Here is a 25,302-nt window from a genome sequence, read left to right on the forward strand (position 1 = left end):
ACCCCTTCTCCCCACATTCTCCATCCCAACCTGATCCAAGTCTTCGTCACTTCTATCCCAGGTCGTGCAGGCAACCTGCCGACGGCAGCTTATTGACAACTCAGCAGGCAGGTGGGTTTTTTGCAAATGTAGATCGTGGGACTGTGTCACTTTTCTGCTTAAATCTCTTGAATGGTTTCTCATTTTGATCAAAATAAAAATTAAACTTCTAATTCTATAACCTTTCTGGTCTTATTCCAAATTCCTTGTGTTGCTCATTCTAGTCCAGCCATAAAATCTTCCATAGTCTTTTGTAACGTCATTAATTATATATAGCCTCCTGTTCTATGAATTAGCACTTGCTAATATTTTCAACCTGGGTTGCCATTTCCTATATATCTGCATGGTTGCCCTATTAGATGTGAATGATAAATTGTACCCCGATTTGTTTCAGGTCTCTATTTAAATGTCATCTAATTCAAAATATTTTTCTTGGGTTCCTTTTCTAAAATAACAACTTCTTCCCCATCCACTGTCTAACTATGCCATTTTATCCTATGCCACTTTTCTCTGTATCTGTGATCATCTCTAGATAGATGTTATATCTGTTGATATGGTTTGGCTGTGTCTCCACCCAAACTCATCTTGAGTTGTAGTTCCCATAATCTCCACATGGCATGGGAGGGAACCTGTGGGAGGTAATTAAATCATGGCTGCAATTACCTCTATGCTGTTCTTGTGACAGTGATTTCTCATGAGATCTGAAGGTTTTATAAGGGGCTTTTCCCCCTTTTGATTTGCATTTCTTGCTGGTGCCATGTGAAGAAGGCTATGTGTCCTTCCCCTTCTGCCACTATTGTAAGTTTCCTGAGGCTTCCCCATTCCTGCAGAACTGGGAGTCAATTAAACCTCTTTCCTTTATAAATTATCCAGTCTTGAGTATTTCCTCATAGCAGTGTAAGAACTAACTAATACATCTGTTCATTTGTTTTCAAATATGTGATTCCCCCAGCAGCATGGGTGATGTTATGACAAAGATTGTGTCTTATTTTCTCTTATTTCTCCAGCACAGGGAATAGAGCTTTTGATATACTTTGGCACTCAAAAATATTTTTAAGTAAAGAAAAATTTTCTAAATCTCAGTATCCACTTCTCCAAACATCTTACACAAAAAGGAAGGTCATTCTAACACTCTTTTCCAAATGAATAGCTCTTACTCATATTGTGTGCCAACCAGATCCTGTGGAGAGGTGAAAGTTCTAAGGCACCTGGAAAGGACAGCTTCCACAGGTCACTTGCAAGCAAATTCTTTGCAGGCCTCCCAGAAACAAGGACATGCCAATCATAACTTCAGTATACAATCAATCAAAATCTAGCTCCTAACACTACACATTGATAATGTTCACTACAAGCTTACCTCCCAGATGCAAAGTCAAGACTTTTTCCTCCACCTATGCAGAGATGTCTGCATAATTGACTCTTCCTTTCCAACATTATCCATTCAGACTTCCACCTCAGCATACGGAATATGTAGTATTTGTCTAACCTCCTACCTGCCCCTCTTCCTCCATTCCTCCACACCTTTAAGGAAATGTATAAATACTAAACTTCCCGAAAACTTCTTTGGAAAAACAGCCACAGATGTGTCTGTGGCTCGTGTTTTTCCCAGACATTCCCCCAGAGATTGAGATGTATGCCCATCACTCATGTTATTCGTCAGGAGAAGAAGCAGCTGTTGATGCCTTTATTAGAGAAAATGTTGACACAGAAAACAAACCTGTCCCAATATACCAGTGCATATTCAACTTAGTACAGGTTATAACATGGGAGGGGGATGTTTAAAGCTCTGCAGGTGATTTGAATAACAGCTGAGGTTGAGAATCACTACAAAATGTTCTCTCCCTGCCAAGGAATATGACCAAGTTCTTTGTGATGTAACAGGCTGGATAAAGAACTGGGCTCAGGGAAGAGTATTCCACTGGAGAATCTCATTTCAAATTTTCCAGAGTCTGGAGTCAATATTAGTATTGACCATCATTCAACAGAATGGTTGGAGTATTGGGTAGTCTATGCACACCCACAGAGAATTGCATCTAAGAGATGGAGATTCTGAGACTCAACAATCATGAAGAGATCTCCTCTATTTTCAGCCCTTTGGGTGACTTGAAACATGCTAGACTTAAGGTAATTGTGTCACAAAAGTATGACCAAGCTTTGCCAGCACCCCTCTTCATTGGCAGCTCAAGATTTAAGATGGTCATCTCTTTACTCTTTCCACATCTAGTATCCCATACTTCCAGTCTTATTTCCCAATATCCTCTTCCCAAAGGGACATGCAAATTGCAGTTCTCTTTTTTCCTCCCCACTTTGGCCTATAGAAAGACCTAATTGCCCACTTACAATGTATAGCATTGACCTTGCCACCTGACATTTACCAACATTGTCCATTACTTTTATTTCATTTCATTCCAATTATGAAAAATAGATTAAGAGATGGCATTGTTTTGATTTTGCTTTTCTTGAATAGTTGAGATAGTGAACAGCTGATAGACTTATTTGCCTGTTTCTTACTTTTTGATCCCACTTTTATTAAGACTTTTATTTGCTATGGAGTTACTAAAGCCTTCTTTCTTCCATTTTACTTTTATATTTTTGTAGAGACAAGGTCTCACTATGTTGCCCAGGTTCTCAAACTCATGGCCTCAAGTAATACTCCTGCTTGACCTACCAAATCACTGGCATTATAGGCTTTATCAAAGAAGATCAAGCCTGGCCAAAGTAGAGACCTCTTTCTATCAGCCAATGTGGGGTATTGTTATAGAGCCAGAGCATCTGGTCACTGTTATGTAATGGTTTGTCTGTCTTATGAGGCACAAGACTAGCAAAAATGTGTGGCCATGTTTGCATTCCCTGAGTAACAAGCAAGCAAGTTCTTTTATGCTCTTTCGCTATAAATGACTTCAAAGATTTATTTGGAAACTTGGAATGATACTTGCCTGAGTAAAGGCCTAAACGCATTTTACATAATATGAGCTGGCACTCACTTGCCCAGCAAAAGCTATGGAAAGATTCATATCAGTTGCTTTTGGAAAAGTTGTCCTCATATTCTCTTGGAGGATCTAGGTGGAAGGCCAATATCCGCCTCTTTGTCATTTGCACAGTCATCAATATTCAGTGAGCCATACAATTGGAAGGAGTGTAGAAGCTTCAGATAATTAAAGTTTCTCATCTTCAGAGGGAAGGCTGAATGAACATATATTTTGTTGGGCAGTAACAACGGATAAGGGCAAATAGAACATTTGACCAGTCTGTCCTTAGAAAATTAAAAACAAAAACTATGTATGATCCAGACTAATGGTAAATAACTTATATTCCATGGACCCAGACTGTTTTGTAATTAAAATGTTATTAGACCACAGCCATGCCCACCCACTTAGAGACTGTGGATACACATTTTTCCACTACCTGACTCTTTATAGAAAAAGTTTGCCAACTTCTTGTCTAGATGAGAAAGGGAAGAGATAGGTATAATGTTAGCAAACACTAAGGCAGAATTATATGTTGCAAATAGTTGTGCTGGTCCTCATTTTGCATTCATATTTGCATATGGATTATGTTGGTTGTAGTATATTGGTACATTTTATATAGTTTATAAATCTACAAATATATAAACGACTTTATACAGTTTATCAACCTGTAAATCTTTACAATGATGGGTTCTTTCTATGGTTTTATAGCTAAGAAAGTTTATTCTAAACATGGAATTAGATAATATTAATGTTTGTTATTTTATGCTTGTATTGGAGCTTTCTCTTCTTTGTTTATGTGACTTAGGAAAAAACATTTTAGACATGCAAAATATACATAGAAAATTTTTATATCTAAGGGTCACCAGCATTATGAAATGAGCTAGGAAGATTTTACATTTACATTTTTGAAAGAGTTTATGAAGTTAATGTATTTTCTTTATTGAAATTTTACTAAACTTCACCTATAAAACTGACCAGGCATAGTGCTTTTTGGAAGGGGCAGAACATATTTTTGACTGCTATTTCAACACAATGGAGTCCCTGGTCACAGTTACCAAAATAGTCAAAGAATAGTCTATATCCATAGAACATTATGAGATGTGAAGACAGAAAACAGTAATGGAATGTCTGAGGTCCATGAGAGGTGGAAGAAACATGTCCTGTATATAATATCACATTTTCCATTCAATCTTGTGTGGTATATTGCAGTTACAAAGAGAAAGCTATATTGGAGTTTCACAGCTGGCCCTAACAGTTTAACCTTAGGGGATAGATTCTGAACAGTCCTAGTTTCTCTTAGCAAAATCAATTAATTCTCTGGACCAGATTTTTTGGGGTGGTACAATTGGTGGGTAAACAAAACCACACTACTCAGTTTAAACTTGTCTTCCTGACACAACTTAAAACTTAACAAATTTTTTTTATTATCAAACGCTTGCTAATGAGTATAATAAGCTGTTTGTCACATGGATGGCCCCAAGGATTGGATTGTTTCTAGGGTTATTTTGACATACAAATATGAAAAGAGGTGTCTTTAAATATTTCTCCCACCTAAAAATACATGTTTTCAGTCAGAAATTTCACACTGTAGAGTTGATTAATGATTAGCAAATACCATCAGTTCCCTATTCAAGAAATTTCAGGATAGGCGGTTGATGCCAGTGAATGATATTTTGTGAGCAAACTTTCCACATTAATTAGGTGGTAGTGCTTTTACAATTTTACCATTTTTAATCTATCCTTGTAAAAAAGTTGATGAGTAAGACACAGATTTGTTGTATATCATTTCATAGCAGGTGAGAGGTAAACATGGTAAGTAGAGTGTTTGCCATCAGATAACAAAAGACGGGCAATCCACTCCTGATTCCAGAAATATCAGACTGCTTCCTAAAGCGAAGAGACCATGAGAAAATTACCTTCTTTGGAAAGTAGCATTTCATACAATACAATACAATACAATACAATACAATACAATACAATACAATACAATACAATACAGTACAATACAGTACAATACAGTACAATACAGAAAAAAAGATCATTTTTGAATATTTTCCTGAAACATACTAAAAAAAAAAAAGTCTCCTGAACTTAGAAACCCTTCTCAGAAATAACCAGCTATCTAAACGAGATTTGCTATATAACTTGCGTATTTCTATGCCTTCTCTTTCACTCTTTGGCCTTCAAATACACATTTGTTGTTCTCAAATTCTATTGTCAATCTTAGGAAGACTGAAACAATAGGTAACAAGAAAATGAAATATAATTTTGCATTTGAAATTCAGCAAGGTCTATCCATACTGTAATAGCTGCCTTCATTGTAATTAATATATCATATGGGTGATCACTGAAGAGACAGAATTTAGTTATATGAAAATCACAGGAATCCCTATCTACTGCCTCAACTAGGGAGACTCAGTCTATGAAAGGGACTTTAAAAAAAGTCAGTTCTTATTGTAGTATGTGGTGTGCTGTCAATCTTTTCTAGAGACACTGCTCTTTGGTCTAATAAAACATCGTATTTTATCTATTGTTCTTTGCCCATGTTTTAGTAACAAATCATGAGGGCAATCCTATTGCTCCATTTAAACTTGCACCATATAATAAAACTACTTTCTTAGGGGGCACCCTGCGTTGGATATTGGATATATGAATATACCGTGCTCCAAGAGATTCAGACTTTGGATAATTCTGTCCTATCCTGGAAGTTAAAATGATGGTATCTCATTACAGAATCAGCTGTGACTGTAATGTGGCTTATTTAAAGGGGTCACTTATTCTTTGCATTTAGCAGAGTTCCTCACAGTCAGAGGCAAACCACCTACTTCCTGTGAATCAATACCATCGTATAAAATTTTTAAAGCTCCCAATTTGTAACTCATCTTGTTCATTGTCATGTATAGATTAAGCAGACTTTGCTATCCATGACCCCAGTCCCTCCTTCATCCTGACGGTATATTAAAGTCAGTTTCTGAAGCAAATGATCTGAGTTTAGAGTTGAAAAATTGCATCTTCATCCTAGATTTTACAAAAATTCATGGCAAGGTCATCATCCCTCAAGTCTTCCTGGAACAATGCTGTTTAGCAATTTTGGTCCCAAAGCCTTATTTGTTAAATCATTCAAAATATCAAAATTGTACTTTTGCTCCTAAGACTTAAATTCTGGGAAGTGTACCAGGAGTCAGTTAGTCATAGTCATTTACAATTGCTAAATGATTTTATTTGAGAGTAAATCTGATAGCTTTGAGAAAACATACAAATGGAAATCCAGAGAAGAGACTTTGTACAGAAAAACAACTATTTCACAAGGAACTGTGCCTGATCAAATGATATTAAAGCAACTTGTCAATGAGAATGTGCCTCTTTCCTTTCTTCTTTATGGGCTGCTTTAGAAATAGTTTCAGTTTAAGAATCAATTAGATTGATTAGTCCATTTTCACACTGCTACTAAAGATATGCCTGAGAGTGGGTAAATTATAAGGAAAAAGAGGGTTAATGGACTCAAAATTCCACGTGGCTGAGGAGGCCTCACAATTATGGTGGAAGGTGAATGAAGAGGAAAGTCACATCTTACATGGTGGCAGGCAAGAGAGAATGAGTACCAAGTGAAAGGGCTTTCCCTTTATAAAACCATCAGATATCATGAGATTTATCCACTACCATGAGAGCAGTATGGGGGGAACTGTACCCATGATTTAACTATCTCTCACCAATCCCTCCCTCAACACATGGGAATATGGTAGCTAAAATTCAAGATGAGATTTGGGTAGGGACAAAATGTCTTCTCATCCTCAAATTCAAATGTTGCTGTATCCAAATATTCCCTGTTTTTCTGGGTTCAAACCAAATGTCACTTCATTAAACACAGAGCCATAATTTTCTTTCAGAGATAATCTAATTTAGATACATGCACTTGTATGTTTATTGCAGTACTATTCACAGCAGCAAACACATGGAGTCAACCCAGGTTCCCGTCACTGGTGGATTAGGTAAAGAAAATGTGGTGCATATGGGCCATGGAATATTACATAGTCATAAAAAATAACAACATCATGTCCTTTGCAGCAACGTAGTTGTAGCTAGAGGTCATTATCCTAAGTCAATTAACAAAGGAATGGAAGACCAAATGCCACAGGTTTTCACTGATAAGTGGGAGCTAAACATTGGGTATTCATGGGCATAAAGATGGGAACAGTAGACACTGGTAGTTACTAAAATAGGGAAGGATGGAGGGTGGTGATAGTAAAAAAACTAGCTGTTGGGTACTCTGCTCAATACCTGGGTGGGGAGATCAATTGTACCCTAAGTATGCTATATATCCAGGTAACAAATCTGCATATGTATGCCCTGAATCAAAAAAAAAAGTTAAAATTACTGATAAAAAGTAAACTTTTTTCTCTAAAATCCAATATGCTGCTATTTGTTTTTTGCAAATTACATGCTCCATACTTTATCTTGTATAACATCTTTTTGTGTGTTTGCTTTTTAATCTTAATTATATTGTCAGTTTCTATTTTTCATTTTAGAACTTCCAGGATATTGTACTGCATGCAAGAGGTACAAAGACAAATATCTGCTTAATGAATTCATAATTTCCCTCAATAGACCCTCACATATAAATTTGGATCAACCAGTAATTATCATGAAGTTTCTCAAATATCATCAGGCCATATAAATAATTGAAGAAGTCTACATCACAAAGAGTTCCTGCTATCATTATGCAAGCGCTCTCTCCCTGCAGTGATGAAATTACACACTTTAGATCAACCTAGGAGGAATTCAAACATTAGCAAATTCATGAGATGTGTTTCTGTTTTCACCTCAGCACTCAATTTAGCTGTGTCAGTATGGTCTTTGCTTGACTCACAATGCCATTACTTTATGCCATTTACAAGGCTGGTCACTCCATTTTGCAAAATGCTTGTGAAATATAGGCTTTCATGCAAAAGGCATTAATAAGAGCAGAAGTCTTCATCTAAGACAAGCAATTTTAGTCCTTAACAGTAACAGGGTAAGCAATGGTTAACAAATTTGCTAATTGTTTTTCCATTCTTTGGAGCTTTATGTGATCTTTTATTAAAGATACTGTAATTAAGGGGAAAAAATGAATGGCCATTTTTCAATATTTATCTTCTTTTTGTTTCATTTCTCTTTTTTTCCTACAGTGAACCAAAACTATGAAGGAAGGAAGGAAAGGAGGAAGGAAGGAAGGAAGGAAGGAGGGAAGGAGGGAAAGAAGGAAGGAAGGGAGGGAAGAAAGAAGGAAGAAAGGAAGGAAGGAAAGAAGGGAGGGAGAGAGGGAGCAGAAAGGACGAAAAAGAGAAAACTGGGGCATACTTTCTTAACTTTTTTTCTTTTTTGAAACAGGGTCTTATTCTATTACCCAGCTGGGTGCAGTGGCATAATCTCAGCTCACTGCAGGCTCAACCTCCTGGACTCAAGCTATCCTCCTGCTTCAGCCTCCCATGTAGCTGGGAATACAGGTGTGTATCATCATATCTTGCTGATTTTTGTATTTTTTTGCACAGACCGGGTCTCACCACATTGCCTAGGCTGGTTTTGAACTCCTGGACAGAAGTGATCTACCCACCTTGGCCTCCCAAAGAGCTGGTAATACTGGCAGGAGCTGCCAAGCCCAGTCAGGCTAAATTTAAAATATGGTTCAGTTAGACTCTCTTTTGCACCACAAGTAAACTAGATAGTTTGTTAGCCTTTCTCACTAAGTAAATAACACATTCACGTGCTTGACACAATGCAAAAATCCTGGAAGTTATTCATGTATCAACGTTAAATCCCCCAAAACACCCCAGACACACTCAAATGCCCACATGCTGTCACTTCACCCAAGCTGCTATTATGTCTTAAAGGGAGTTCCTAGTGGTCATAGCAGGGCTGTTTTCAAGCAGCTCCAGCAGTTATCAGCATTCAACTGTTAGGAATCCCCTGCTTCACTGGGCTTACCATAGAATGTAGGATGTAAACTAAGCTCCACTTTGAAGTCTATGAGGACTGTGTGACTGCCTTCTTTCCTACTTTTCACCCTAAGTCTAACCATGTCTCCTTCACTGTGATCCTGCAACACCAACCTTCTCTCTCTCTTTCCTGAAACCATAAAGCTAATGCATACCTCAGGGCCTCTGATTCTTCCAGCCACTGGCTAGCTATCACAGCCCTCAGATCCTCCTGGGATGCCGTCTCCTTACCACTGAGTTTCAGGTACCATCTTCAATGACTGACTGACCTAAATTTTCCTTTGGAAATTTTTCTTTGTCTCTCCTTACCTGGGTTTATTTTCTTTAACTACATTCAGCTTATCTAAAAGAGGCTTGATCACATACTTTTCTGTTCATCTCTTGCTAGATAACTCCACATTCAGTAAAATATAAGATCTGTGAAAGTATAGACGTCCTCTGTTTTCTCATCATTGTGTCCTATTACCTAGAGGATGCTTGGAGCTTGGGTAGGGACATGCAGTGAATAATTGTTGAAATAATTATTTGCTTTCCCCTAGACTCCATTTAATTGTCATTGTGCCCATTTGTATGCATAAAGCATTTATCTAAATACACATTCAAAACATGGTATCACTCTTGTAAGTCAGTTGAATGTGTATTGAGACATCGCCTACGAAATGTAAATAAATGCTGTTTGATTCTTCAGGGTTTCCTCACGCAAGAGCTAAAGGAAAACATCTCCCCTGAAGTTTTGCTGAATAATAAGCTCTCAAAAGGCAGATTAATTGCAAAAAAATGTATACAAATTTTATTAACATGTATGTGGGTTCATTCAGAATGAAAACCCAATGACACAGTGAAACCGTATTTTTTTTGCTTAGGTTCAATGAAGTATGGAGAGTTGTATAGAAATAGGATTGGATAAAAAGGGTCTGATCTTATGCTGATGATCTGATGGGGGAAACCTAGCCAGGTCTATCTGTCTAGATTCTTCTTGGGATCTCTGAGGAGCTCTCTCTTTCTTTTAGGTGTGGGGGCAGGACCCTCTCTGGAACAAGGGTCTTAGGACCTACAGTCAGGCAAGGTACATCAGGTCATTTCTTCATGGCCAATTTTTACACCAAAAGGTGGGTGTGAGTAGACTCATTTATTTAGGCTTTATGGCTGGCTGTGGGGAAAAGGGATTCTGGTTTCCAGAGCATGCCTTGAGGAAGAGGGATTAAGGTTTCAATGGCACCTCAGGAGAGAATGGAACTGAGAGACAGGAGGGCAGGAGAAAAACTTTTGCTTTTGCAGCTGTTGCTGAGGTCTGCGTGTAGGGGTATTGTTTGCTGATCCCTAGACACTCATTAAGTGGCTAGTCTGTTCATGTGAACCATTCTCATGTTGTAGCCTAAATCATGGTGGAGCTACAGTAATTAATAAGTCACTCAACCTAAGTTGCAATCATCATTTTCCCCCTCTAAGTTAAACTGAGTTTCAAGATTTGCTTTTTAGAAATGGTGCATAGAATTTCATTAAAACAGAACTATTTTACCAGTAGGGTGTTATTTGAACTTCCATCATTAGAATTGATACTAGATAATTGCATCACACTGACATCCAAGTGTTCAAAAAGGTAAAAGACATAGGATTGTACTCCTTGAGTGTGCAGTTACTGGGGACATACATTTGCATAAGCTATTACAGAGATTCCTTTGTGGTGGAAATTAACTTGCAATTTTTTTCAATGACTATTTCATCTGCTAAGGTGTCAAATCTCTTTTTATTCTCTGCATGCTACAAGTAAGTAGAGCAGGCCTGGTGTGATTCCTTCACTTATGGTGGGCAGTTAGCAGCCTGTCCAGTTTCACATACCCAATAAAAAGCGTCAGCCTGGAGGTGGATCAATAACTAATTTAACCTCACACCTAATTCTTTTAATGATGTATCAATCACAGCCCCTTAAAACACCTGTATCAGATGAAAATCTACAGCTGCAGATTGAATTTAATTAATTTATGCAGCATTCATTTTACCTTAATGAACACCCCTCTACGTGGCCTGAATGCTTACGAGTATACATAAATTGCAGTTCCAATTTTCTCTGTCCATGAAAAGTAAAGACAAGCAAAACAAAGTAAAAAATAATTATCCAACTGTTAATGATAGGTGATGTTTTCTTTTAATCATGGGATGGAGGTGGGAAAAGAAAAGCAGGAAGAAAACTTCAAAAAAACACCTGAATAGATGTAATCACCTGTGTTAATCAATGTGTGAGACATTTTAAATATTTTACCAGATGTGGTCTTCGAGAAAAGTCTGTGAAGAGGGAAATAGATTCTTACATAGGGAAAGTGGTTTCTACCCAAGATGACTTGGTTTGGAATGGATCACTTTTTCTTTCCATTATGCTGTAATGCTACCCTTTGAAGCTGATGGCTGGCCTGATTAAACCCACCAAATGTCACCTGTGTTGCTTACTTATAACTGCCTATGTCTAGTTAGTCTTACTTAAAAGTGAGAACCTTCCATACTTGATTTTCTGTTCCTGCATCAGTTTGATAAAGATAATGACCTCTTCCTCCATCTGTGTTCCTGCAAAAGACAAGATCTCTTTCTTTTTTATGGCTGTATAACATCCCCTGGTGTATTATGGTATATACTATATTTTCTTTATCCAATCTGTTATTGATAAACATTTAGGTTGATTCCATGTCTTTGTTATGGTGAATAATGCTGCAATGAATATTCATGTGCATGTGTCTTTGTGGAAGAATGATTTATATTCATCTGGGTATATACCAAGTAATGGGATTGCTGGGTCAAATGGTAGTTCCGTTTTTAGCTCTTTGAGAAGTCACTATACTGCTTTCCACAATGATGGATTTAATTTACGCTCTCTCGGATACTGTGTAAGTGTTCTCTTTTCTTTGAAACCTCACCAGCATCTGCTATTTTTTGACTTTTTTTTTTTTTTTTTTTTTTTTTTTTTTGAGACGGAGTCTCGCTCTGTCCCCCAGGCTGGAGTGCAGTGGCGCAATCTCGGCTCACTGCAAGCTCCGCCTTCCGGGTTCACGCCATTCTCCTGCCTCAGCCTCCCGAGTAGCTGGGACTACAGGCGCCCGCCACTACGCCCGGCTAACTTTTTTTTGTATTTTTGGTAGAGATGGGGTTTCCCCGTGTTAGCCAGGTTGGTCTCGATATCCTGACCTGGTGATCCGCCCGCCTTGACCTCCCAAAGTGCTGGGATTACAGGCTGAAGCCACCGCACCCAGCCATTTTTTTGACTCTTTAATAACAGTCATTTTAACTGGTGTGAGATGGTTTCTCTTTGTGGTTTTGATTTGCATTCTTCTAATGATCAGTGATATCAATTTTTTTTTTCATATGATTGTTGGCCATATGTATGTCCTTTTTAGAAAAGTGTCTATTCCTGTCCTTTTCCTACTTTTTAATGGGGTTATTTGATTCTTTCCTGCAAATTTGTTTAAGTTCCCTATTGATGCTTTAGTATTTAAAAATCCCTAAGTTATAGCATGTTTACTGTAGGGAGCAAACGTCTTTTACTTTAGTGCATTGGCGTTTACTCTGTGGGGTCAATGTTATCCTTTTTGAGGAGAGAGAGGATCAAGAAAAATAACTAATGGGTACTCATCTTAGGAACTGGGTGATAAAGTAATCTATATAACACACCTCCATGACAAATGATTACCTATGTCATGAACCTGCACATTTACCCTTGAACTTAAAATAACTTAAAAAAAAAAATATGTGGCCGGACGCGGTTGCTCACGCCTGTTATCCCAGCACTTTGTGAGGCAGAGGCGGGCGGATCACGAGGTCAGGAGATGGAGACAATCCTGGCTAACAGGGTGAAACCCTGTCTCTACTAAAAATACATAAAAAATTAGCCGAGGGCGGTGGGGGGCTCCTATAGTCCCAGCTACTTGGGAGTCTGAGACAGGAGAATGGCGTGAACCCGGAAGGTGAAGCTTGCAGTGAGCCGAGATGGTGCCACTGCACTGCAGCCTGGGTGACAGAGGGAGACTCCATCTCAAAAAACAAAACAACAGCAACAAAAAATGTGCCAAAGTGTTGCCTGATGTGCTACTTGTCATAACTGTTGAGTGAAGGTACTTTAATATTTTTCTATAGAGATGAAATGGATTGATTAAATGTTACAACCTCATAGTATAGAATTGCATCAGGGAATTAAAATAAATGAACTAGAATCCGTATGTATTAACATGAAAATAAATAGTGAAATGTCTTGTCAGGGAAAAAAGAATCCTTGAATGAAAAAAAAAAGTCTGTAAAAAGGTTGGAGACATTATGGTTTTGTTAATGGCATGTTTTAGCTTTAAGGGCATCCATTGACTATCTGCCATGAAAGATGAAACACTTTCTAGTGATGTCTTCCTCGCACCTACACTCTCTCCAGCTCACCAGTTTTGTTGGTTATATTGTCATTTTGAAAAAGCAAAATCTGTAACAGTTAAATCCAGTTTCCAAAATTCTTTCAATAATTTTATCTTAGAACTAAATTGGGATGGATATGTTTCACACCAGCACTCATGAGATCAAGCCTTCTGAATTTTAGAATAATTTTCCTATAATCTGTTTGAATGGATTTCAAGAGTAAGTAGTAGCTCTTCTTCAAGAAGAAACCCTGGTTGCTGTCACATGTCTTCATACTTCAAGGACAGTTGTGAAGAATATATTGTATCAAACTTTACAGCCATTGTTCCATTCTATTCTGACATAGAACTTCTAGGCCAACCTTCTTTTTCTCCATGTTCTTCTGGACTTCCTTTTCTTCCTTAATGCCCTCATCTTTATTTTTAACATTTTGTAATATCCTTAAGCCATGGTCTAATGAGAAATTTATTGTGTAGCCGTTTTTCTGAAAACCAACTTGGAACCACTAGAGTGAAGTCCTGATTTATTCTTAAAAATGCCACTTCTGTGACATCTTTAATTTTTTCTTCTCTTCTCATCTTCATGATGTCCAACAGTCATCTGGAAAAAAGTTCAACATCACTGATTATTAGAGAAATGCAAATCAAAACCACCATAAGATACAATGTGACACTAGTCAGAATAGCCATTATTAAATGTCAAAAAATAACAAGGTTACTGGCAAGGTTGCAGAGAAAAAGGAACACTTACACACGTTAGGAGTGTAAATTAATTCAGCCATGTGGAAATCAATATGGTGATTCCTGAAAGAGCTAAAAACAGAACTACTATTTGACCGAGAAATCCAATTACTGGGTATATACTCAAATAAATATAAATCCTACTATAAAGATACATGTATCTGCATGTTCATTGCAGCACTATTCACAAGGGCAAATGCATGGAATCCACCTAAATGCCTATCAATGTGGACTGGATAAAGAAAACATGGTACACCATGGAATACTTTGCAGCCATAAATAGGAAAGAGATCATGGCCTTTGCAGGAACAAGAATGGAGGAGGAAGCCATTATCTAGTAAACTAATGCAGCAATAGAAAGTTGCATGTTCTCACTTGTAAGTGGTGGCTAAATGATAAAAACATGGAATATATAAAGGGGAACTGTTGGGATTCCCTCAGGATAGTGGCAGAAATATTAAAAGGAAATACTAGGGAAAGTTATACGGAATAGTCACAAACCTTTTTGAAAGGCCGAAAGATTACATAGCTTGTAATAATTGAACAGGCTGAAGGTGGCCAGTTCTTACCTTAGAGCTTAGGTCATAAAATAAATACTAGGGACAATAGAGGCTTCCTCAATTAAGTCTGTTTACCCTGCCTCCATTAACTAAGCTTTGAGCCACATGGCCCTCTTGCAGGGAGGTCCACCAGGGACATCGCCCCTTAATGGTATTTACTTTAGACCATGGAACCAGAGCTTTAATCATTCCTAGAACTACTCTCTTAACTGTGTTAATTATCTACAAATGTGTTTATTCAAAGCTTCTGTTGTTAATTCTATACTAAATAAATTCCTGGAGTGCAAGCTGCTCAGGGCCACAGCTGCCATTATTTACAGAACTGTCCTTGGAGTGTGTGAGTGGCCTCGGATCCTCAGCTGGACTGGCAATGCAGAATATCTGTGTGTCAGTGTACTTTATTCATCCATTGCAGGGTCAGAGGTCTGTGAAGCACAGACTCCCCACAGCTAGTGCCCTACAGCAAAAGGAGAGCTGCCTCAGGCAACAACACTTTGGGGCATGTTGGAGGGTACAGGGTGGGGGGAGGGAGAGAATGAGGAAAAAAAAAAACTAATGGGTACTAGGCTTAGTAGCTGGGTGATGAAATAATCTGTACAACAAACCCCATGACAAAAGTTTCCCGATATGAGGCACCCTCACATCTACCCCGAGACTAAAATAAAATTTTTTAAAAAGGGAATGTCAATTATGCAAACATTGAATCCTGCTTGTCTTTCATTGCTATCTAATCCAATGTAAAACATGCTTATCTTTCCTTGTGTCACTTGGAGTGATTTCCTAAAACCTATCCACTGTGTTTCTGGCAGTATTTCAGTCTTTAAAATTGTATTTTATTGTAGTCCAAATAACCATTGTCAACCTTTTTCTTCTTGTTTTTTCTGTCTTATGAGCTCTCCCAACTTAATTTAAATCAAGTGATCTGTGATTTCTGCTGTTTTGTAATTTTTTTTTTTTTTTTTTTTTTTTTTTTTTGCTTAAAGGCATGTACTTATTTCAACTCATGTTGAAAGCACAATCATGTGTTGAAAATGTGTTGTAGAATATGAAGAATGATACTGGAAGAGTTTTCTGAAATCAATATTTGCTTATGTGAACATTATTTTTCTCTCTCTTTTTGTTGTTTGTTTGTTTGCTTTTTGTTTTGTTTTGGTTTTGTTTTTTTTTGGCATGTTTCTCTTTCCACACTCCCCACCTGCCTTCCTTGCAGTTTTTAAGCTAGAGTTTTCTGGTGGGTATTTTGACTTTTACTTCTCTTAGAACAGACCACTGGCAATCCACAAAGACTAAAATTGAAGGGATCTGTTCTATAGCTGTCATTTTAGTTTGCTACTTTAAACTCCTTCTTGTCAAATCCGTTATTGTTTGTCCTGGGTTCCTTTTTCTTGGATTGGATAGTTTAGATAGTTGGTATAGATGATTGCAAAATCCCTATATCAGTACGTTGCTGATAAAGACATACCCGAGACTAGGTAATTTGTAAAGAAAAAGATGATAAATGGACTTACAGTTCTACATTGTTTGGGAGGCCTCACAATCATGGCAGAAGGTGAAAGACATTTTACATTGCTGTGGCAAGTGAGACTGAGAGCCAAGTGAAAGGGGTTTCACCTTAAAAAGCCAAAAGATCTCATGAGACTTATTCACTTCCATGAAATCATTGTGGGGAAAACCATCCTCACGATTCAATTATTTCCCACCAGGTCCCTCCCACAACCCATGGGAATTATGGGAGCTGCAAGTCAGGATGAGATTTGGGTAGGGACACAACCAAACCATATCATCCATTAACCCATTGTTTCTCTGTGGTTGTATTTATAATTTTGTGATGACTTCCTCTCAAACTTAACTTGCTTCACCTCAGGCAGTCTTGTAGAATTGGACATGTAAGTCTTACGAAAATAATAGGGGTGACAGGTTTTTTTTATATATTATTATTATTATTATTATTATTATTATTATTATTATCATTATTTTGAGAGAGAGTCTCACTCTGTGGTCCAGGCTGGAGTGTAGTGGTGTCATCTGGGCTCACTGCAACCTCCACCTCCCAGGTTCAAGTGATTTTCCTGCCTCAGCCTACCAAGTAGCTGGGACTACAGGTGCCCGCCACCATACCTGGCTAATTTTTTGTATCTTTAGTAGATATAGGGTTCCACCATATTAGCCAGGATGGTCTCAATTTCCAGACCTGGTGATCCACCCACCTTGGCCTCTCAAAGTGCTGGAATTATAGGCATGTGCTAGCACACCTGGCCTGGGGGTGACAGTTTTTTTTTAAAAACTCAGATGTTTTATCAAAAAGCTTATCCACCAAGATCAAGTGGGCTTCATCCCTGGGATGCAAGGCTGGTTAAATATACACAAATCAATAAATCCAGCATATAAACAGAACCAAAGACAAAAACCACATGATTATCTCAATAGATGCAGAAAAGGCCTTTGACAAAATTCAACAACCCTTCATGCTAAAAACTCTCAATAAATTAGGCATTGATGGGATGTATCTCAAAATAATAAGAGCTATCTATGGCAAACCCACAGCCAATATCATACTGAATAGGCAAAAACTGGAAGCATTCCTTTTGAAAACTGGCACAAGACAGGGATGCCCTCTCTTACCACTCCTATTCAACATAGTGTTGGAAGTCCTGGCCAGGTCAATTAGGAAGAAGAAGGAAATAAAGGGTATTCAATTAGAAAAAGAGGAAGCCAAATTGTCCCTGTTTGTAGATAACATGATTGTATATCTCAAAAACCCCATTGTCTCAGCCCAAAATCTGCTTAAGCTGATAAACAACTTCAGCAAAGTCTCAGGATACAAAATCAATGTACAAAAATCACAAGCATTCTTATACACCAATAACAGACAAACAGAGAGCCAAATCATGACTGAACTCCCATTCACATTTGCTTCAAAGGGAATAAAATACCTAGAAATCCAACTTACAAAGGACATGAAGGATCTCTTCAAGGAGAACTACAAACCACTGCTCAGTGAAATAAAAAAAGGATACAAAGAAATGGAAGAACATTCCATGCTCATGGGTAGGAAGAATCAATATCGTGAAAATGGCCATACTACCCAACGTAATTTATAGATTCAATGCCATCCCCGTCAAGCTACCAATGACTTTCTTCACAGAATTGGAAAAAACTTTAAAGTTCATATGGAACTGAAAAGGAGTCCGCATCACCAAGTCAATCCTAAGCCAAAAGAACAAAGCTGGAGGCATCACACTACATGACTTCAAACTATACTACAAGGCTATAGTAACCAAAACAGCATGGTACTGGTATAAAAACAGAGATATAGATCAATGGAACAGAATAGAGCCATCAGAAATAATGCTGTGTATCTACAACTATCTGATCTTTGACAAACCTGAGAAAAACAAGCAGTGGGGAAAAGATTACCTATTTAATAAATGGTGCTGGGAAAACTGGCTGGCCATATGTAGAAAGCTGAAACTGGATCCCTTCCTTACACCTTATACAAAAATCAATTCAAGATGGATTAAAGACTCAAACATTAGACCTAAAACCATAAAAACCCTAGAAGAAAACCTAGGCATTACCCTTCAGTACATAGGCATGGGCAAGGACTTCATGTCTAAAACAACAAAAACAATGGCAACAAAAGCCAAAATTGACAAATGGGATCTAATTAAACTAAAGAGCTTCTGCACAGTAAAAGAAACTACCATCAGAGTGAACACACAACCTACAAAATGGGAGAAAATTTTTGCAACCTACTCATCTGACAAAGGGCTAGTATCCAGAATCTACAATGAACTCAAACAAATTTACAAGAAAAAAACAAACAACCCCATCAAAAAGTGGGCGAAGGACATGAACAGACACTTCTCAAAAGAAGACATTTATGCAGCAAAAAAATTCATGAGAAAATGCTCACCATCACTGGCCATCAGAGAAATGCAAATCAAAACCACAATGAGATACCATCTCACACCAGTTAGAATGGCAATCATTAAAAACTCAGGAAACAACAGGTGCTGGAGAGGATGTGGAGAAATAGGAACACTTTTACACTGTTGGTGGGACTGTAAACTAGTTCAACCATTGTGGAAGTCAGTGTGGCTATTCCTCAGGGATCTAGAACTGGAAATACCATTTGACCCAGCCATCCCATTACTGGGTATATACACAAAGGACTATAAATCATGCTGCTGTAAAGACACATGCACACGTATGTTTATTGCGGCACTATTCACAATAGCAAAGACTTGGAACCAACCCAAATGTCCAACAATGATAGACTGGATTAAGAAAATGTGGCACATGTACACCATGGAATACTATGCAGCCATAAAAAATGATGAGTTCATGTCTTTGTAGGGACATGGATGAAACTGGAAATCATCATTCTCAGTAAACTATCGCAAGAACAAAAAAACAAACACCGCATCTTCTCACTCGTAGGTGGGAATTGAACAATGAGAACACCTGGGCACAGGAAGGGGAACATCACACACCGGGGACTATTGTGGGGTGGGGGGAGGGGGGAGGGATAGCATTAGGAGATACACCTAATGTTAAATGATGAGTTAATGGGTGCAGCACACCAGCATGGCACTAGTATACATATGTAACTAACCTGCACATTGTGCACATGTACCCTAAAACTTAAAGTATAATAATAAAAAAAAAAGTGACATGAACACACACACACACACACACACACACAAATAAAATAAAGGGTCAGCCAAGGACTGGAAAAAAAATTGAGATGTTTTTTCTCGTTTTTGTTCTCACCGATATGATTTTATTCGGAACTTCCCATAAGCACCTCTCTAGAAAGATGAGGCAGAGGGGAGTTTACAGTCAGCTTTCAACATTCAAAACAGGATTCTGAAGCAAGCGATATCATCTTGATACACAGGATTTGTTGAGAAAAGGGATTTACACTCATCCATTTGTATTTATATTTAATTACTGGGTATTACTCTCAAATCTCAAACACTTTTTTTCTGAGAACTATTTATTCTGATGGAACACAGGCTATCATTATCTACCCTTTCTTGAGTAGACTTCACAATTAGCCAGAAAGTGTCTTGGTAAGTGGCCTGAACTTGTCATCATTTCTTGCTTTCATTGAAGATGAAGTTTTCTTCCACTTATTTGATTGAGAAAGAGATTGAAGTTAAAAATGGCTTTACAACATTTAACAGAAATACTGGATAGTTTTAATTTAAGTTATCCATCTTAGAAGAAATTTCTGTAAAAGCTTGACTTTTTGCATGTAGGGATCATCTTAAAGTCTTTCAATCATTTATTCAAGGAATATTCTCAAGTTCCAGCTCTAAGACTGTGATTAAGCTAAGTCCTGAATATGTATCAATGAATAAATGAACATAGCCACCCACATGTTAGAAAGAGAATAATCCCTAAGATAAACAAAAATAGAGCAAAGAATATGGGTCTATGTGCTAAGTAGGAGAGGATGGTGTCTGGGGAGGGGTTGCTGTGGAAGATTTGTGAACAAGATGTCTTTTCAGTAAATTTATTCAATCTTACTTTGAATGGCATTTCCCACTCATAATGTCCCTATTTCTAGCAGAATTAGATTTGTAAGCAAATTTCCCATTGTAGGCATAAAATGTATTTCTTCATTTGAACCAGGATTGAGTTCTTCTTGAAACAGAATAAGCCAATCTCTATTTGAAGAGTGAACACCAGCTTCATTCAGTGCCCTTCTCTCTTCTCTCCATTTCAGACTAATTTTCAAGTTACTGTCCTCTCTCGTTTTAGATCTGATGTATGTCACTACTTTGGAATTATTTCTTTACATAGTTGGTTCTACTGAATGGAATTCCTGATTTATGGGCAATTCTTTATAATGGGCATTATATCATTTTATTGAAGCCCTGGTGTTCAGTTTGGGAGAAGGAGCGAGTCACCTTCCAGACATTTTTTTCCCCAATTTAAGGTCTTAGAAATTGACATGATTAGTCAAAAATAAGTAATTAAAATTGAGTTGAGTTACTTAATAATCATGTAAGCACCAATGTTTTCTGTTAGAAAATTAAGTAATTAAGGTGACTATTGATTATTATGGATGATAATATAAATTCATATTTCCAAAAGGATGAGCTCTCATTTTTTCATCTATATGTTTAATCACTTAAACTGAATCTTGTCTACTGATAAATGATGCTTAGATAGTACATAATAAACATATTGCATTGTTGGGCAAATTGAATAAATGTTGAGTTTGAATTATTAAATTGAAAGAAAGCATACTAACTAAAGAAAATGACCACTCTCTCAATTCCTCAGGCATCTCTAAGAATACGGAGAAAATAAAATAGGGTGTGGTTATTAGGGCCGAATTATTATTGGACCGGGCATAGATTCAGGAAAAGAAAACTGTGCAATTTAAAGCTATCATAACTCCACAATTTGAAATTTACCCTAAAGAAATCATCAGATTTACCAAAAGATTTATGACTGAAAATGTTTATTACAATTTTATTGCATGGTTCTCCAGGCTGTATAGAAAGCATGGTGCTGAGATCTGCTCAACTTCTGGGTAGACTTCATGAAACTTACAATCGTGGCAGAAGATGCAGGGGAAGCAGCCCCATATTACATGACTAGAGCATAAGAGAAGAGCCAGGGAGATGCCACACATTTTTAAACAACCAGATCTCACAATAATTCACCATCACAAGGACAGTACCAATGGGAAAATCCACTCCCATGATCCAATTGCTTTCCACCAGGTCACAACTCCAACATTGGACTTTACAGTTCAACATGAGATTTGGATGGCAACACAGATCCAAACCATATCAGAGGCTGAGAGAGATGAAAAGCTTTCTGTTATTTTGAGCAGATGAGTAAAATAACTTGATAGATATACTTCCCTAGGATCACAGCTAAAGTCCTCTGTTGCACCTGTAGTGCCTTCAGAACAAAGTTCACACTTTTTTTTTTTTTTTTTTGAGGTCTCCTCTCTCACCAGGCTGGAGTGCAGTGACATGATCTCGGCTGACTGTGACATCTGCCTCCTAGGTTTAAGCAATCATCCTGACTCAGTCTCCCAAGTAGCAGGGACAATAAGTGCAGGCCACCATGCCGGATTCCATTCTTCTTAATATAGTTACCTGATACATTCATCTGTCAGAGCCACCCAGTATATGTTCCAGCCTTTTTCGTACTATTCCTAATAACCTAAGTGCACCATGTAGTTTACTTCACCGTGTCTCTGTGCATCCTGTTTTGTCTGACTCAAAAGTCATTTCTTCCACTCTTTAAATAGTCAACTCTGACCTGTGCATTTAAACAACCAATTTAGGGTTGCATTTCCTATCCTGGCACTACTTGGATTTTATGTTAGCATCTCTTGCTCCAGATTGGGCGCACCCAGAGGACCAAGACTCTTCTCAGAGGAGCTTGTGAGAATTGATGAATTTAAAGAAAAAAGATATAGAGAAGAAAGTCCATACACATTAGAAAAAAATGCCAAACAGAGTAAACAACGGGTAAAAGGGCAAATCATTACAAAATGACAAAAAGGGTGACTTCAGAGCAAAGCCCTTTCTTAGCATAGCAAGTAGGACAGACATTTATATTTGATAACATTATTCCACTCTCTTGCTATCCCACAGCCACCTGGTTCAAGATGCAGATATCATGAAATGGGGCTATATCATTTAGTAGGAAAGAAGACTGTGTAACATAAGATTACCAGGTTTCTCAGAGATGTTTTGCTGAACTATTTTTTTAAGGATGTGGAGGGAGCTTTGAATATTTTATTATATATCTTGTCTCTACTGGAAACAGTCCTTGTTCTCAGTTTACTGGGATGCACTATGCCTTCTCTTTGGAAAACAGTCTTAGATTCTAATACAAGAGAGCTTGGGACATTGCCAGAGGTGAAAGGCTGGGCTAAATTTCTGTATCCAAGGCTCTAGGCCTAAATGAGAAGCTGTCTCCTGTGCTGCACAGTCTAGTTCAACAGAAATGAAGACTGTAATTAGGGAGCATTGGAGGAATAAGCCAGTGTATTGGGCAGGGCCTTATATTATGGTGCACTGTTTTTTTTTAGTATGATTCACAGGCAATTCCTATACACAGGCTCCCACTTACAGATTATGGAGATCAGTTAACACATATATCCAGAGATGATCCAACAAGATGATGGAGTATTCTAGAAGGATCTTGGTGTACACACTGATTTTCTTCTATTAAGAAAACACTACAAAATAGGGCTGAATTAAAATGAGTTGTAACAGCAAGTGAAATCACCTTGAAAGATTGTCTAAAATGTTGCATGATTTATTTACAAAAAGACTTTTTTTTCAACTTTTATTTTAGATGCAGGGGGTACAAATTCAGGATCATTGCCTGGGTGTATCATGTGATGCTGAAGTTTGAGGTATGGTTGTTGCTGTCACCCAGGTACTGAACATAGTACCCGATAGTTAGTTTTTCAACCCTTGCCTCCGTTATCCCTATCTCTTCTAGTAACCCAAGTATCTATTGTTCCAATGTGTAGGTACATCTATTCTCAATGTTTAGCTCTCACTTAGAAATGAGAACATGTGGTATTTGGGTTTTCACTTATCTTAAGTGAATTAACACAGGAAGAAAAACCCAGGTATTTGGGTTCAAGAAATTCTCAGGTATTTATTTTTTTCATTCTGTGTAATTCACTTCGGATAGTAGTTTCCAGCTGCATCCATGTTGCTGCAAAAGACATGAGTTTATTATTTTTCACATCTGTGTATTATTCCTTGGGGTATATGCACATTTTCTTATCCAGTCCACTGTTGATGGGCACTTTGGTTCATTCCACTATTTTGCTATTGTAAATAGTGCTATGATAAGTATAGAAGTTTAGGTGTATTTTGGTACAAGAATTTATGTCTCTATGTAAAAATTTTTTATTTAGTGAACTTATTTTTTAAAGAAGTTTTAGTTTCGCAGTAAATTCAGGTGAAAGTACAGGCAATTCACATGTAGCCTCTGTCTCCAACAACAAAACATCTCTTTGAGAGCATACAACCTCCACCACACCCTTCTAACATGTAAGCAGTCATGATTTTCAGTTATTATTTTGGATTAACTATGCCACTGTCATTTTCTGGGAGCCTCCTTTCCTTGTTTGGCTCAATATTTTTATTATATTTTATTTGTAAAAGCAATTTTAGGGTCACAGCAAAATTAAGCAAAAGGTACAGAATTTCCATGTGCCTCTGACCCCACACATGCACAGCCTCCCCCACTCTCAACGTGGCATTTCACAGTGGTGCATTTGTGAAAACTGATGAACTTACACATCGTTGTCCCTGAAGTCCATAATTCACATTACGGTTCACTCTTGGTGATGTTCATTCTAGAGGTTTGAACAAATGTATAATGACATGCATCCATCATTATATTAGGTGGGTGCAAAAGTAATTATGGGTTTTGTTAATACTTTGGTACAATAATTTTGCACCAACCTAATAGGATCACACAGTATAGTTTCCTTGCCTTAAAAATCCTCTATGCTCCACCTATTAAATCATCACTTATTATCTGAATTTTTACTCTAGCCATCCTTGTGGGTGTGAAGAGGTATCTCTTTGTAGATGGCAGATTATTTAGAGGCTAACACTTGGTTGTGTGTCCAACCAATTGGACAAGGCTGAGTATTCATGAGGACGATGAAATGAATCCATTTAGCTGCACAGTGAGAAGAGGGTATGTGCAAACAGACAAGAAAACAAGATGCACCCAAACATTACAAACCACATTTCAAACTCTTCTCTTTGGACAACTATCTCATAATGCATCCTTGTCTTAGGTTGCCTGACTGGAAGACAGCATGGATGATCCCTTGTAAATTTATTGACATTGTTGTGATTCCAAATTCATAGCCCGCAATGTTAGGTGAAAAGCAGCAGTTCTATCCAGGATAGCAAGAACATTGTGTTACAAAGTGATTCAGACTGAGAATGAGAACAATTTTGGAAGTATCCATGAAATTCAGCATTCCAAATTAGTTTGGGATATAGATCACCACCATGAAATATGTGCCTTTATCAAAGATGTTAAGATTCTACTATAATTTAGCATAACCTTCTCTTATTTTTTCTCAGGGCTTTCATATGATGAATATCTCCACTCCCCTAACACAGCTACCATCAAGAGACAAAATTGAGTTCCAGATATTTATAATTTTCCTCATCCTTTCCCCGGAATAATTGTGTAAGGGAATGATATAGTGGAACTAAGACTTTAAACATAATTAACGACTATGATTTGGGCTGTGAATATTGAAGATATTATTGATGATGATGATGATGATGATGATGATGATGATTATGACCATAAAAATAGAGTTTGTCAGAGCATTGAGTACTTCCCAGCTATCTTCAATACTTTGTCATCACAGTTTTTCCTTTGTAGGCAGCATTCACATTGGATAATTTTATTAGCACCTGACTCACCAGGACAACCACTGTCTCTTGCCTACCCACTATCTGTATCTCCTTTTTTAATAAATAGACCTAAAGCTCACTCAGAACACTGCAATGAGACTGTTTAAACCCATTAATGCCCCTGGGTTCCCTTGCTGCTTTGCATGGCTGGGACTGCAAACTCTTTGATATAAAAAGACAAAGAT

The sequence above is a fragment of the Homo sapiens genome, chromosome Y (genome assembly GCF_000001405.40).
Source record: "Homo sapiens chromosome Y, GRCh38.p14 Primary Assembly".
NCBI lineage: Eukaryota > Metazoa > Chordata > Mammalia > Primates > Hominidae > Homo > Homo sapiens.